Raw genomic sequence first — 14,387 nt, 5'->3', positions numbered from 1 at the left:
TCTGAGATGCCATCATTTTATACATCTTACTCACATACGGATAATTAAATGTAATTGTCTGATGACAAGAGAGGGATTGTCCTTTGTAGCTAATGCATTCTTATGAGTAAATAAAACGCTAACCAAATGTTAAAGTAAGCATTCAGATATAAATAAACTACAAAGAAACAGAAATAAATTATACTTAAATAGAGTGAATTGGACACATGGAGTATACCCATTGTAAACTCACCCCAAAAAATACTGCTAAGCCAAGCCAGTCCAAGCTCATTTATCCTAAAAAGCATGTGGTACAAGTGCACAGCACTCAACAATAATACTTCAAGAACCTGAGCAAATATATGTTGCTTCTCAGCAAAACCTTTCTGTATTAATGCTTCCCTGGAGATAAATTTTGTCTCTAAAAAATATTAGAAAAAGAAAATATTGTTTGGCCCACTATGTTTTCAAGTCAGTGAGTATGGGTAACTAAAAGGATGAAACAACAGAATAAAAAAGCATTTTATTTTTGAAGGCAAATCAAATAGGTGTGCATCTTAAACAAGAAGCAACAATACCTTTAAATTTGTGAAATAGCCTGCATTGGAAACATCCTACCATCACTACCACCACATGCTACATACCTTTGAGAAGTCTGCAAATAGGTGTCTACCTTCAGAGATCTATGATGAAAAGAACTCCTTTTGGTGACCAATATTCTTTATCTGTTTGCATCTACCATCCAGGTGTTGCGGGTCCCACAGAACTCCTGGATGAAAGCCACTCAGAATATTCCTTATAATTTCCTCTTGCCTTTGAAAGCCAAGATGAAAGTGGGAGCAGTCAGGATGATCCAGCTGAACATCCAGAAGGAGAAGGCTTGGACTCTGCTTCATGTACACTTCAACTCCTATCTTGCTTATTTCACTCACCAGTCATCTCCTCCTGTGGCACTGCTCACAGCTCTCCGGGCTGCACTATAGGGTGATGGAAAAATATCATGTTAGTCTCTGTATTAGTCCGTTTTCATGCTGCTGATAAAGAGATAACCAAGACTGAGTAATTTATAAATAAAAAGAAGTTTAATGGACTCACAGTTCCACATGGCTAGGGAGGCCTCATAATCATGGCAGAAGGCAAAAAGCACATCTTACATGGTGGCAGACAAGAGAGAATGAAAGCCAAGCAAAAGGGGAGACCCCTTATAAAACCATCAGATCTCATGAGACTTATTCACTACCACGAGAACAGTATGGGGGAAACCACCCCCATGATCCAATTATCTCCCACCAGGTCCCTCCCACAACACATGGGAATTATGGGAGCTACTATTCAAGATGAGATTTGGGTGGGACACATAGCCAAACCCATATCAGTCTCCCTTCTCTCTGCCATACTTCAGGCTCACATCCCCACTCCTACCCAAGTCCAAGCTAAAGACTGTCGAGAAACACAATGTTTAATGGTTGGAAACCAATTCACTATGGAAGACTGATTGCAAATGTTGCCCCAGTTTTCCAGACTCCTAATTGTGACTTTGCAGCTACACTCTTCAACTTTTTTGTAGCTACTTCCCCTCTCCTTGCATCTGGGCTGCCCTTGTGACTTATTTTGACAAAAAGGGTCAGTGAAACTGACACTGTCATAGTACAGAGCCTAGGCCTCAAGTATCCTTGCTTGCCTTCTCTCTTTCTTAGAAGCCTGGTACTGCCATGAACATAAACCCAGCTGACCTGCTTGCAGATGAGAGACTGTAAAGAAAAAGGCTGACTCAGTCCAGTCGTCCAAGCCTAGGCCCCAGACATGTGAGAAAGCCCAGCAGAATCAATAAACCTGCCTTGTATGTGACTTGTGAGCCAGAATGCAACTCTCCTCTCCACCCAAAGACTCATGAGCTAAGTAAATGCTTACTGTTTTATACTGGGTTGTGTGTTATGGTTGCTCGTTACAGTGCATATTGTGGGAGTAGATAGCAGATACACTCTTTTGCTGAGAGAATATGCTGACCTGGAGCCATCAGTAGAAACACTGTTACACTGGCATAGACCCCCTAAATTATCTGTGAGAGCAACAGCAGAACTCTAGTAATAATAGCCATACACAAATCAAAGATAAGCCCAAGAACCCAGAGCTAGGTCCTGGGGCAGAGACCAGTAAGGCAGGAGTTAAGCCCAGATATCAGGGTTTAAGGCCAGGAGTTGATGATAGGAGCCACAAGCAGCAGACCAGGCAGAGTAAAATAATTCACCCAGTCAAGAATTATATCACAGCTTGAATCAATAGGGGAGGAGTCAGGATTCAAGCCTGTGGTATAAGTCAGGAAAAAGGATCCGTCTAGGGCTAAGGAAGGCAGTTAACATAGTCAAGAACCCCAGGAGTTCTTCAGTTGCAGCAACTAGTATAATGCCTACACATCCCAACCACCCAACAAATGTGTTGAATGAATGAATGAATGGCTGCAGTAAACTTATGACTTAAAGCTAAGTAATCCAAGCACTAGCATTGAGAAATTGATAAAAGGTTGATCCACAGGGACAATGAATGGTACAGAGCTTTTGGAAAGTGAACTCTTATAATTAGAATGTTTATAATCATTTATTTTGTAAAGGTGACTTTCTATCCCTGGACCTTTCATACAAGAGGCATTTAATAATGTTTATTGAATTGTATTGTAGGGTATAATGGTGTAAAAATGTTCACTTCATTTATTTTAGATATCATGATATGATTATGAGGGGTTATCCAAACTATTACCACCGCCATCACCTTCTTGGAGCAAGTGCAGTTTCTTGATACTTAATGTATTTGTGTTCAACTGAACTAGGATCATAAAATCAGAGCAGATATCCCAAGGAAGCTACTCACAGTCTCCCTTCAGGTTTGCCTTCAACAAAGCCCCACACTTAAAAGTATCGCCAAAGATTATCAAGAGGCCCTAGTTCCAGAAGTGGAGGTGAACAGAACCTGAACTTGTTGCTTGTTCTTAAATGGACATTCACCAGGTGGCACAGAGTGACTTTATCTGGATACTGGACAGACATGATTTCATGAATTTTGCACTTCCAAAATGCTAAAATACTATATTATCCACACAATTGAAAAGTAGAATTGAATACGCTCATCGATAAGATTTCAAAGACTATCATTAAGGGATATGCCAGCTGAAGTTTCCTTTACACAAAGGGCAGTGAGGGGCTGTCTTCTGCTGGTGTTAGTAATTATCCAGCTTTGATGAGTAATAATACAAACAAGAAGGCCAATTACAGTCCTGGGATCATCAGTTGTAGAACTTATGATCCTCTGTGATAGGCTTCCTTTATTGATTAACTTTTTTCATGCAGTAGTCAAGGACCCGGGGAAGCCTTTTCACAATAGCTTTTTGTTAGTATTAAATCTGCCTTTTTCAGTGACATAAAATGGAAAGTTTAACAATACGGGTTTCAAGTAAAAGAATCAGCATTTCTGAACAATAATGCTGATAAAACACCTATCATTTTGTTTTGTTATTTTCTCCAACTTACTATGGATAACAAAATTAGTTCACCCAGGAAAAACACTATCAGGGTTCCATAGACATCTAAACTTCTAATTATATGCAACATCCTAAACATCAACCTCTAGAACATCTGGATATATAAAAATGTGGTATGGACTTTATGTTCATTGGATAATTTTAAAACAATCACCTAGTATAAATTTCACTACTCATTTTCTCTCTGGGTAGTTTTAGGAATGATTCTGTGTTTATTGTTTCTTGTAATACTATTTGTGTGTGTGTGTGTGTGAGAGAGAGAGAGAGAGAGTACTTAAAGCCTCACACATACTACATTCTGTAGCACTTTAGAAGCATCTCCAATTACTAAATTACTTTTTATAGAAATTAAGAAAAATCTTTTTACCATTTCCTCTGTATTTTGCTATAATCCAGCAAGGATTAAAAATACTTATTTAGACTCTCTTACTAAACTGTTTTAATAAGTGAAGTTATATTAGAATGCCTTGACTTTTCAAAAACAGACTAGCAAGTTTGTTTGAAAACCCATTCTTAACCATATTTGATTATTATTCTTTCCCAACTTAAAATCCCAAAGTGTAAAATTACTCAAAGTGGAGGAAAGTTAACAGGAGTATGGGTCTATATCTGTATTTTTCAAATTTTTGATTCATGTCAGGAAATCTGAAAATTGCTTCATCAGATTTTCATAAAAAGGAAATAATTCTGCCAAAATTGTAGCATTATGATATAAATATGGGTATTGACAACTTGCGGGGGACTCTTTGAACATCAATCTAATTAATTACTTATCTTCTTGTCATAGCAATCACTTACTCTTAGGTGCCCTAAGGCAGAATTGCTGGGAGGGTTGGACGGTGGAGAAAGCTAATAGTCAGAAGATTAAATGTAGCATGAATTTATGGAGGTGAATGATAGCACTTAAATGTGCCTAACCCCAAAATGTGAAATATTCTGAGCTTCTGATGACACATCACTAAATCGAGACATAAAGTTCTGATCTAATTATGGACTTGACTTTGAACCTAGACAGAAAGTGATAGAGAGGCAGTGATAGAAAGAAGATATGATGGGAGTGGGTTGAAGAACTGGGAAAGGAATGTACAGATAAATCTAAAGGCAAGAAAATACATATGCATCATAGTAAAGTACCCTTTCAACCCAAAATTATAGCAAGAAATAACATTATCTGATTTTAAATTTTACCCATATTAGAGTTCTCTAGTGAAATAGAACCAATAGGATAGACAAACAGATTGGCAGAAAGACAGATAGATAGGTAAAGAGGGTTTTTATTATAGGAATTGACTCGTAATCATAGAGACCGAGAAGTCCCACAATATGCTACCTGCAAGCTGAGAACCAGGGAAGCCAGTGATGTAATTCATCTGAGTCCAAAGGCCTGAGAACCTGTAGGACCACTGGAGTCTGAAGGCCCAAGAACCTGGAGTTCTTATCTCCAAGGGTAGGAGAAAAAGGATGCCCTACATCTCAAAAAGAGAAAGCAAATTCCCCCTTCCTTCTCATTTTTGTTCAATCTGGGCTCTCAACATATTGGATGATGCTTGCCTACATGAGTGAGAATGGATCATTTTTACTGAGTCTACTGATTCAAATGCTAATCTCTAAAAATGCTACCCACCCCTCACAGAAATGTTTTACCAGCTAAGTACCCCTTAACCCAGTCAAGTGGACACCTAAAATTAACAATCACAACCAGTTACCCCTACTTCCACCCATGCCGACCAGTATTTTGTTATGGTAAGAGTAAATTGAATGCAAGTGGGCAGGATGAAAGGGCAAAGCTAGCAACTTTGATAGCGCCCACAGTAGTTAAGAACACTCTGCTCAATTCAATTCGGTAATTAACTTATTAGTGTCTATCTTGTGTTTGGTGCTGTGCTTGGTACATAGAGACAAAGTTAAATGCCACAAGGCCCTTGACCTCAAGGAATCTGTAGTCTAGTGAGGGAGAGACACATTTAAACAAATAAACAAATGTCCATGTGATACAAGCAATATTAGAATCACAGAAGTGAAACAGACAAAGGAATGAGTCATTCTGTCTAGAAGGGAAAGAAAACAGGAAGTACCTCCTAAGCAAGGTTTTGAAGAATGAATATAAGTTCAAAGACAAAATAGGAAGGGACTGCTAAACAGATGGAACAGCATATGCAAAAATACAGACACAAGGAGCAGCGGGGTGTGAGAAGCAAGGCAGGTGGAAATTTTGAGTTCATTACATAGAGAGAGATAAGAATTGTGATGTGACCAGCCTTGAATTCTATGCCAAAGAACTTGCTTGGATTTTATCCTGTAGATAATACCCAAAATGGGAGGAGCTGAAACCTGGAATCAACAGGGTCAGTTTTGCCTTTTAGAAACAATGCCCACTACAGGAAGATGGACTGAAAAGTTGTAAAAATAGAAGCATAGAGACCCATAGGAGTCTCTGGTACAGGAAAACCTCCTTAAGTTCTCTTTCACGAATTGTGATTATCTAAGTGGAGAACTTTCTCCTTTTTAGAAAACAAGAAAAGGCTTACAAGGCAACTCATTTTGAGACCAATTTTTCAGATATGTATGCCTTTTAAAGATTTGGATCTGCAAGAAAAAAGGAAAATGGTTATTTTTAAACATAAAGTGATTGTGACACTTAGAGGCATCATTTATGGTCACTATTGCCTGGCATATGATGGGCACTAAATATTTATCTAATTAATTAATTAATATAATTGCCCTTTATATTGGGTCTTTTTTATCTTATTCACAAATCATCCTTGGCAATTTGACATTTTAAATAAAAACAGAGTTAGCTTAAAATACTTAAAAATAATCAAACTGAATTTATTTAAATTTTTTCTATAAATCAGACTTTTATTTAGTCAGGCTGCCCTTTACCCCAATTAATCCAAATCAGTGAGCTTTTACTGTAATTGAAAGTTGTGCGTACTTGCCATTTCCGCTGACCCTCTAAGAGCCTGTAATGGCAATTGGAAAATTTCCAAGGTGCTGGTACCTTTAGTTTCTCCTTTGCTCTTCTTACAGACAATAGAAGTTTGCATTGTCAAATGTAAATCTTCTCTGAAAACACCCCCTCATATCCTCAACACCTCCTTTAGAAATTTTGCTATTTCTTAACACTGATTTTACCTAACAAATCCTTAAATGGATTTTATGTAAGCTGCTTCTATTTACCATCTCCATTCATTTCAACCACTAGCCACGGGGCCTGAGACCTGAGTCAGCCTCAGCCTACCTCTCCCTCACTGATGCCATCAGGTGTCAAACCTTGTTCAATCGGCTACTGAAAAGCCTCTCAAATCGGTTGTTGCTACTCTAATTCTCCCCTCACTTCCTAACTTCAAGCTCTCACTATTTCTTGCCCAGACTGATATAATAAACCTCTTTCTAAAGGCTTCCCACCTCCAAATGTCATGGCCCTCCAATCCATCCAGAACCAATGCCCACTCTGATTCTTCTCTCACATGCACATCTGATTGGCTCTCCACTATTCCCAAGCCGGAATCCAAGCTTTTTAGCATGACCTAAATGGCCTTTTACCATGTCATCCCCAAACTCTTGTTGCCTATTTTCACACCTTTGTTACTTTTGCACATATTTTCCCCACCGTGTCAAATTATTCTCCGCCTAGCACCCTTCTTCAACCAGCAAACTCACATGCATCCTTTGAAGATAAGCTTAAGGGAAAAGGAACTGTTATATAGTTGTTAGGAGCATGAGCATCAGTGCACTTAAACCTAGGTGTGAATCTAGAACTGACTCCAGCTGCATCCCAGCTCTACCACCTCCCGGCTTTAGGACCTGTGGCAAATTACTCAGTCTTCCTGAGCCTCTGTGTCCTCTGTAAAAGGAGAAACATTAAACAGAGCATTGTTGTGAGAACTAAATCAGTCTTTGAGGTGCTCAGTCCAGTGCCTATAACGTAGCAACTGTGCAATAAAGAATGGCTATTAGTATTTTACAATTTCATCTCTTCTATGAAGTTCTCTTCCAGCCAACATCATTTCCTTAAGATATAATTGATTCTCATCGTGTGCTCTCAGAGTGTTTCGTTTCTACTTCTGTGGCACTTACCTTATTGTAGAATGCTTATTTCTTTAATAATAATCATGGCTAAACACTTATTCAGTACTTTCAATGTGTGTCACTTTTGTAAGCCCCCTACATGTATTATCAAATTGGACCCTCAAAAACTCCATGAGGGAGGTATGATTATGAAATGTATATTAGTGATGAGGAAACTGAAGCCAAAAAGGATAAGCCACTGGCCCAATGTTACTCTGCCAGGTGGCAGAACCAGAAATTGAAACCAGGCAGCCTTGCTCAAAACATATTCCTTTAACTACTATTGACATGGGAATATAAGCTCCTTGAGTACAGAAACTGTCCCTCACATCTCTATGTCATTAGTACATGCACAACTTCTACAGACAAGAGAGGTTCATTATGAGCATCTGAAGAGCTCTCAGAACAGAATGTCTGGCTGCCTCTGACCCAAGACATACTGAAAACCCAGCCGCAAAGGTCATCCATTCAAACTTGGTTTGTTCTTCTGTTTCCATCTACAAACTCAATTCCTCTGCTTTGGTCCAAGGGAAGTTCAGGGAATCTTATAATATTAAATGTGGTCCAGAGTCCTGCCGTCTACAAAGGAGGCAGTGAAGGGAGACTTCTGTGAGTTGAGAAGTTACTTCTAAAGATATGGACTATACCCAGTGAGCATTCAGGCCTTACATGTGTTTTATCACTTGGATGAATACAAAATTGTAATTGACAAGTTAGTCTCAAAGAATGCTGTGCTACTGCAGAGAATATTTTCCTCCTTGGTAATTTTCCAAATTTAAGAAAAGAGCATTCTGGGGCATTACCTTCATATTTACATTCAGAGAGATGGGTATAAACAACCAATTTTTTAAAAAATTATTCAGTGGGAAATAGCACGCTCGTGAAATGTTAAGTTTTTACCACCTAAAATTATATTACATTTGATATGGGAATAGGATGGTATATAAAAGCCCAGATACACATTTCATCATTTCATCATCTATTTCAGCTAGTTGTGCTCCTACCTCCATTTATAAAGTAGGCAAATATAAAATTATCCAGGATTGCTCTGTGTAGTTAGAAAAAAAATTGTGAGCCTGTATATTTGGGGCAAAATTTGTATCTGTGTTGTGAGCATCACTCAATGAATCTCTAGTTTAAACACACAATGCCTGCACACTTGCCTGAGCTCTTGCTGGGTCTGAGGTCGTATCATCAGCATGTACACATCCAGAGCATTTCATGAACTGTATGATGTCGGCAGGTCATTAATAAAAACTGAAAAAGTAAAAAGCCCCATAATTAGCTCCGGAGGTAACTTTGAATGTAACATTTTCACCTCAGATTCAACACCATTAAACAAAACGACTGGGGTTTATTCACTAATGTAGCCTGAGAACCATTCCACTGTAGTTAAACTTTGCCAAATTGAGGGACACTCAAATAGCAATATGTTGTGATTCATCGAATCAAAGGCCACAGACAAATCAATAGAGATAGTTGCTGCATAAAAAATGATAATGAACAAATGTAACAATATCACCAAGGTTACCTTGAGAAAAGCAAAGAAGTGGTTTAAAACCATCACTAAAAATAGGGTCAATATATCAGGCTTGAATGAAAAGCTCATTAAGTTTTTAGCAGATTTAGGAAAAACTAAAATAAGGTAAATAAGTAATCACTGGGAGAAAATTATTTATCAAGGTATAATATAAGGGTCTGGTCTTTTAATAGTATAAGCAACCTGAAATGCAACAGACCCGCTAGCAACAGGTTAAGAAGGGCTTAACATGGCCATTATGAAGAAAATTCTGAGGAACAGAAACCTATTGCAACAAATCACTGAGTCAATACAAATACACATTTAAAATCTTGAAGGCACATATTCGTCAAACGACAGATAAAGAAATACAGGATGTGAATTAGTCTAATTCTTTTCTTATTTTAACTCTATTTGATTATTTATCTTTGAACAAAACCCAACCCCTTGAATAGATTATGATGCTTATCTGAATTTCTCAAGTGCCTCTTTGGACAATTTGTTAGCATAAAGAAGGCAGTAACAAGTTATCAATAAGCAACTCTTGTTGCTTATTCAAATAAAAAGCATTACACTGATGTACACTTAAGTTGGTGCTTTAGACAGTTGGTGGGAAACACAGCCATCATATTTTTTCCAGTGGTAAAAGTCTAAAATCACAAAGCTAGAAGCTGCCTTTAAGATTGTTTAGTCCAGGCCTACCATCAATCGCTTTCATCTTTTATAGTACCCATTTCTCAATATGTTTAAATATTAAATATCCAATAATGTGCTTTTCATATTTACTGTTTTAATGAGTGAGTTTCAGTAAGTATTTCTAAACATTATTTTAACAGTAACAACAATGGCAAATTTTACCCAATATTTAAACATTTTTTTAAACTACAAAAATCACTGTATGAAAAGCAACTATATCATAAGCGAAATAAACATCTTAAAAAAAATAAAGAATGAACTTAAGGTTCTTCAAGAATCTGAACGTTAAATTCTTAGAAAAAGGCCACAAGCCGTTAGATTAATATCTTCTCAGTTGTGAGAGTATCCTTTTCATGTAAAATAAAAAATATCAGTAATTTGCTTTGTGTTTGAGCAATACAGAATAAAAAATAATTTCCTACCTTAAAAAAGTGAATACTAGAATGCTTTGATTTTGAGCTGCTAAAACAATATGTAGCTTTTGGAAATAATTATTTTATTTAATACACATACAAATATGAATTTCTCAACTTTTTTACCTCAGAATCTCAGTTCTATAATCACATTGGTATAGTTTTAGGGAATTCATAGCCCTAAACAGTCCTAAACAGAAAAAAGAAATGTAAAGACCTTCACAGCAAGAATAGACGTGTTTATTTAAAATCTCAAAATAAAAGTTCTATAAATGTTATGAATCTGAATGATGATCCAAACGATGACCATAGTGAAAAGTTACAATTCCAGTTTATGGCATGGTTTCTATTCATCACCATAGAATCTGGGATGGTAAGCTTCCTTTTGTGTCGATAAACAAAGGTTACCTAATAGCTTCCAAATTATTGGTAGTTTTTAATAGAGCCCAATTTAGAAAAGAAACCCTTTCATGAGGACCTTTTTATTTTAACCTACGAAATCCAAACAAGATGCAAGGACAGTAAGAGAAACAGACAAGTTTGTTACAGTGTAGTAAACAAAGACAATGCTCTTGCACATGATTAGCCAACCAACCCTTGACCTGAGCAGGACCACCTGAGCACACAGTTTATTGAACTTACTAAATTTTGCCTTTGAAACGAATGCTTTTAAAGGACGGACTCCTAACCCATATTGCAGAGGTTCACAAGCTGGATGGCAAGCTTGACGGTGGTGGTTCTTAATCATTAGAGAGACACAGACCCCTTTGACTACCTAGTAAAAGCCTCAGAACCACTCTCCTAAACATAAACATGCAAATCCACATTTTTGCACACTATTTCAGGGGTCAAGGACCACCCCACTTCACCCACTGATCTGGGCTCTAGGCTGAGTCAGCAAAATTTGAAAACTTTCTTTTTCAGCTGAATATTTATTCTAACTACCATGGCACTTGAATGACATTTTAAATGTGTACTGGTTTTCATCAACATGATTTCCTTCATTCCACTTTATTTGCTAAATACAAAAAGAAATGATGGTGCCAGGTATTTTGGTAAAGGTTCTATGTACAATGACACATAAGCATTATTCTATAGATGTGACTTTTTTAAAAATGCACCTTCCCTGGCATTGCAAATACATAATCTCATGGAAATAAAGAGAATCGTGAGCAGAAAGAGAGTTTGGTAAATTTCACTTAATACCTCAGGTCTTGCAGATATGAAGAAATTGGTGTAAATTTTAGAGTATGGGCTGACTATCTATATTAGTCTGTCTAGGCATAAAATGTTTTCAGTTTAGCTAGAAAACTCCTGTAGTAAACCATAATGTCACTATAAAGAAGACCCTTTTCCTGAGTTTCCAAGTTTTCTAAGCCAAATTATAATAGTTGCATCTACATCAGTAAGGTTTATATAATCCTCTCTCTAACTTGTGGATTCCAACATCCACAAGAAAAGGGTAGGCAAACAATCTTTCACATCCAGTTCCATCTGTGTGAAGATTAGATAACCAGCAGTAGAAGCTACCAAAATCTCTGGACTGAGAATTATTGAGGACATCATTCTAGCACTAATGTCATTCCTGCATAGATGCATTACTTCCAACAATCAACCAAAAATTACCTATTGTTTCTGTGCTAGACACTGTGCTTAAGAATAAGTTGATACCAATAAAACAATTAGAACAGTCTATATTCATTGTTAGTACTCAACAAATGTTAACTATTATTATAATCATTAATGTTTTTATGGTTGTACAAATTCAAATAGCTTCTGCACTCAACGAGCTGTATTCTAGTAAGACATTTAAGATAGGGCATGGTAAGATTATGAGGGAAGTACAGTCATCCTTCCATATCCACGGGGGTTTTGTTTCAGGACCCCCCAGGGATACCAAAATCTGTGATTGTTCAAGTCTCTTATGTAAAATGGCATAGTATGTGCATGTAGCTTATGTATATCCTTCTGCATGCTTTAAATCATCTCTAGATTACTTGTAGCTAATACATTGTAAATGCTATGTAAATAGTTGTTACACTGTATTGTTTTCTTAAAATTTGTATTATTTATTATTCTATTGTAAGTTTTAATTGTTTTTTTCCAAATGTTTTTGATTTGAGGTTGGTTGAACCTGTGAGATGCAAAATCCATGGATGGAGAGGGCCGCAGAAACCAAGAGGTGGGCTGTGGAAGTCATTCTAGTGAGTCAGGGAGCGTTTTTCAGGAAAAAAAAAAAAATAGTGGCTAGCTCAGCAAATCAGAAGGAAAGTGTAGCCATCTAGGTAGCCAATTATAAATGCAAAGCAAGAAACAGCATATATTTGGGTAACCAATGGTTAGAGCAAAGACTACACGTGGAAGTTTTGGACTACAGGTAGAAGATGGGCCGGAAAGGAATGAAGAGGCAGATTATGGCAGGTTGTTAGGTGCTTGTGACAGGTTGTTAGGTTACTGTGAATGCTGTGGAGAGTTATTTTAAAGACTTTCACACAGCAGAGTCCTCCTGCTATTAGCTGTGTAACTCATTCATTCACTTAACCTTTTTAGGTTTTGGTTTACTTACGTGAGGAAAATGGTTGCTCAGGTCTCTTCCAGCTTCCTTTTTTTTTTTTTTTTTTTTTTTTTTTGATGATCCCTTTGTTCTTGTATCAAGAATTACCAAAATGAATGGAAGATTCAAAAGATTTTGTTTCACAGAATCACATATCATTACAGAGAGACATTTGTATGACTTTTGAACTTTATAATTAGCTTTTCTAAGTAAATAAATCACTGTTTGATTTTGGCTTATGCCCTTTGCTCTATAAAAAACAAAAACAAGCTTCCAAAAATTCCAGATATCTCCTTCAAAATAATGATCAAAATGCATTTGGAAGCCTACTTAGAATTTACGTAAGATATTTTTCTAATGGTAATTTGAAAAAGGAGGAAAAACCACAAATTATTGCTCAATCATTAACACAGTCAGGTACCACTCCAGTGGCTGATATTCAATCAGCCGATTAAAATCATCTAGTCAGTTACCTTATGATTTTCCAATTTTATAGTCAGATCAGTTGGAGATGTAATTAATACATATCTAAATTATCGACATTGTTAGTTTTGCAGTGTCTCACTAAAATTCTAATTTTGATTGACAAGTATGAAATTTAAGTTTTCTTTCCACAACCTGAGTATTTCTATTGTTTTGTTGAAATTATAATAGTTTCCTCTGTGCTGCATCCATGACTCAAGCAAACACACGGCACCTGATGAAACTGATATATATATATCACCTTCCTCTACATTCTTCCCTTGACCGTTTTTTCTCACTTGAAAAACAGAGCGAATCAACCCAAACCAGAAAAATTATTAGGTTTTTATGGAAGTGTAACATAGGTAGAAAATGTGAGTCATAACATGATACTGCAAAAAAGAAAGTTTAGAAGCAAATGAAAAGAAAATAAATGTCAATTTGATAATTCCTCTTTTCTGTGTATCTGTAAGTAAAACTTTGTTGTTCCCTAAGGCCTAACTGTTAATCTATTGCTGCTCTAACTTCATCCTCTAATTCCCAATTCACTATATTGAAAGGATCTATTTCAAGAATCAAGTTTGAGTGGATTTTGTATTGTATTGGAATATCTTCTCCCCTTTCTCCACCTTTCAATGAAAGTCAAAAGCTTTGTGGCCAAATGAAGTAGGCTTAGGTTGTTTACCTTCACTTTTCCCATTGTTTCAGACTTCTAGCACATTCTTTCATTCTATCTTCTCTACTATAACACTCTGTTTTCATCACTTGGCTTTCTGCCAAGCTCTCCAACTATGCCTTTCTCAAAATTGCTGTCTTTTTGGAAGACTTTAATCACAAGTTGAATCTAAATATAAATGCTACACTGTAAGCCCCTTTATCTAGTAAATGTCACCAACTTTCTCATTTTATTTAATGCTCCAGTATTTTGGCTTCATTTATATTAAACTATCAGTAGGCAAAGACTAAGTCCATCTTGGGATATTCAGAATTGCTGGTCTGGCTTCTCACAATGCTGAGCTCCCAAGCAGATTGGGAAGAAGATTGCAGGTCATGCTCACCCCCATCCTCAACCCATCACATATCAAGGATCTTTCTAAGCTCATGCCCAGATGCTCAAGTTTGCACCCCAGCCTCCTCAGACCATGATGCCAGCAGCTACAC

General features: G+C 36.9%; 1 long non-coding RNA gene across 13 annotated transcripts in view; it reads right to left on the bottom strand.

The window, feature by feature from the left end:
• The window catches only part of LINC02955 (long intergenic non-protein coding RNA 2955), a 491,729-nt gene that overhangs the window by 136,641 nt on the left and 340,701 nt on the right, over nucleotides 1-14,387 (bottom strand). For 6 of the 13 annotated variants that reach the window (NR_187512.1, NR_187513.1, NR_187508.1 and 3 more), the window contains 2 exons: nucleotides 8,746-8,839; nucleotides 624-956 (listed from right to left, as the gene is read on the bottom strand). This is a non-coding gene — a long non-coding RNA (long intergenic non-protein coding RNA 2955). The remainder of the gene's footprint in view (nucleotides 1-623; nucleotides 957-8,745; nucleotides 8,840-14,387) is intronic. The other 7 variants (NR_187514.1, NR_187511.1, NR_187503.1 and 4 more) reach the window with 2 other exon arrangements.

Source organism: Homo sapiens, chromosome 12, assembly GCF_000001405.40.
Source record: "Homo sapiens chromosome 12, GRCh38.p14 Primary Assembly".
NCBI lineage: Eukaryota > Metazoa > Chordata > Mammalia > Primates > Hominidae > Homo > Homo sapiens.
The sequence above is the reverse complement of the archived record's forward strand: the minus strand, read 5'-3'. Positions and strand labels throughout refer to the sequence as shown.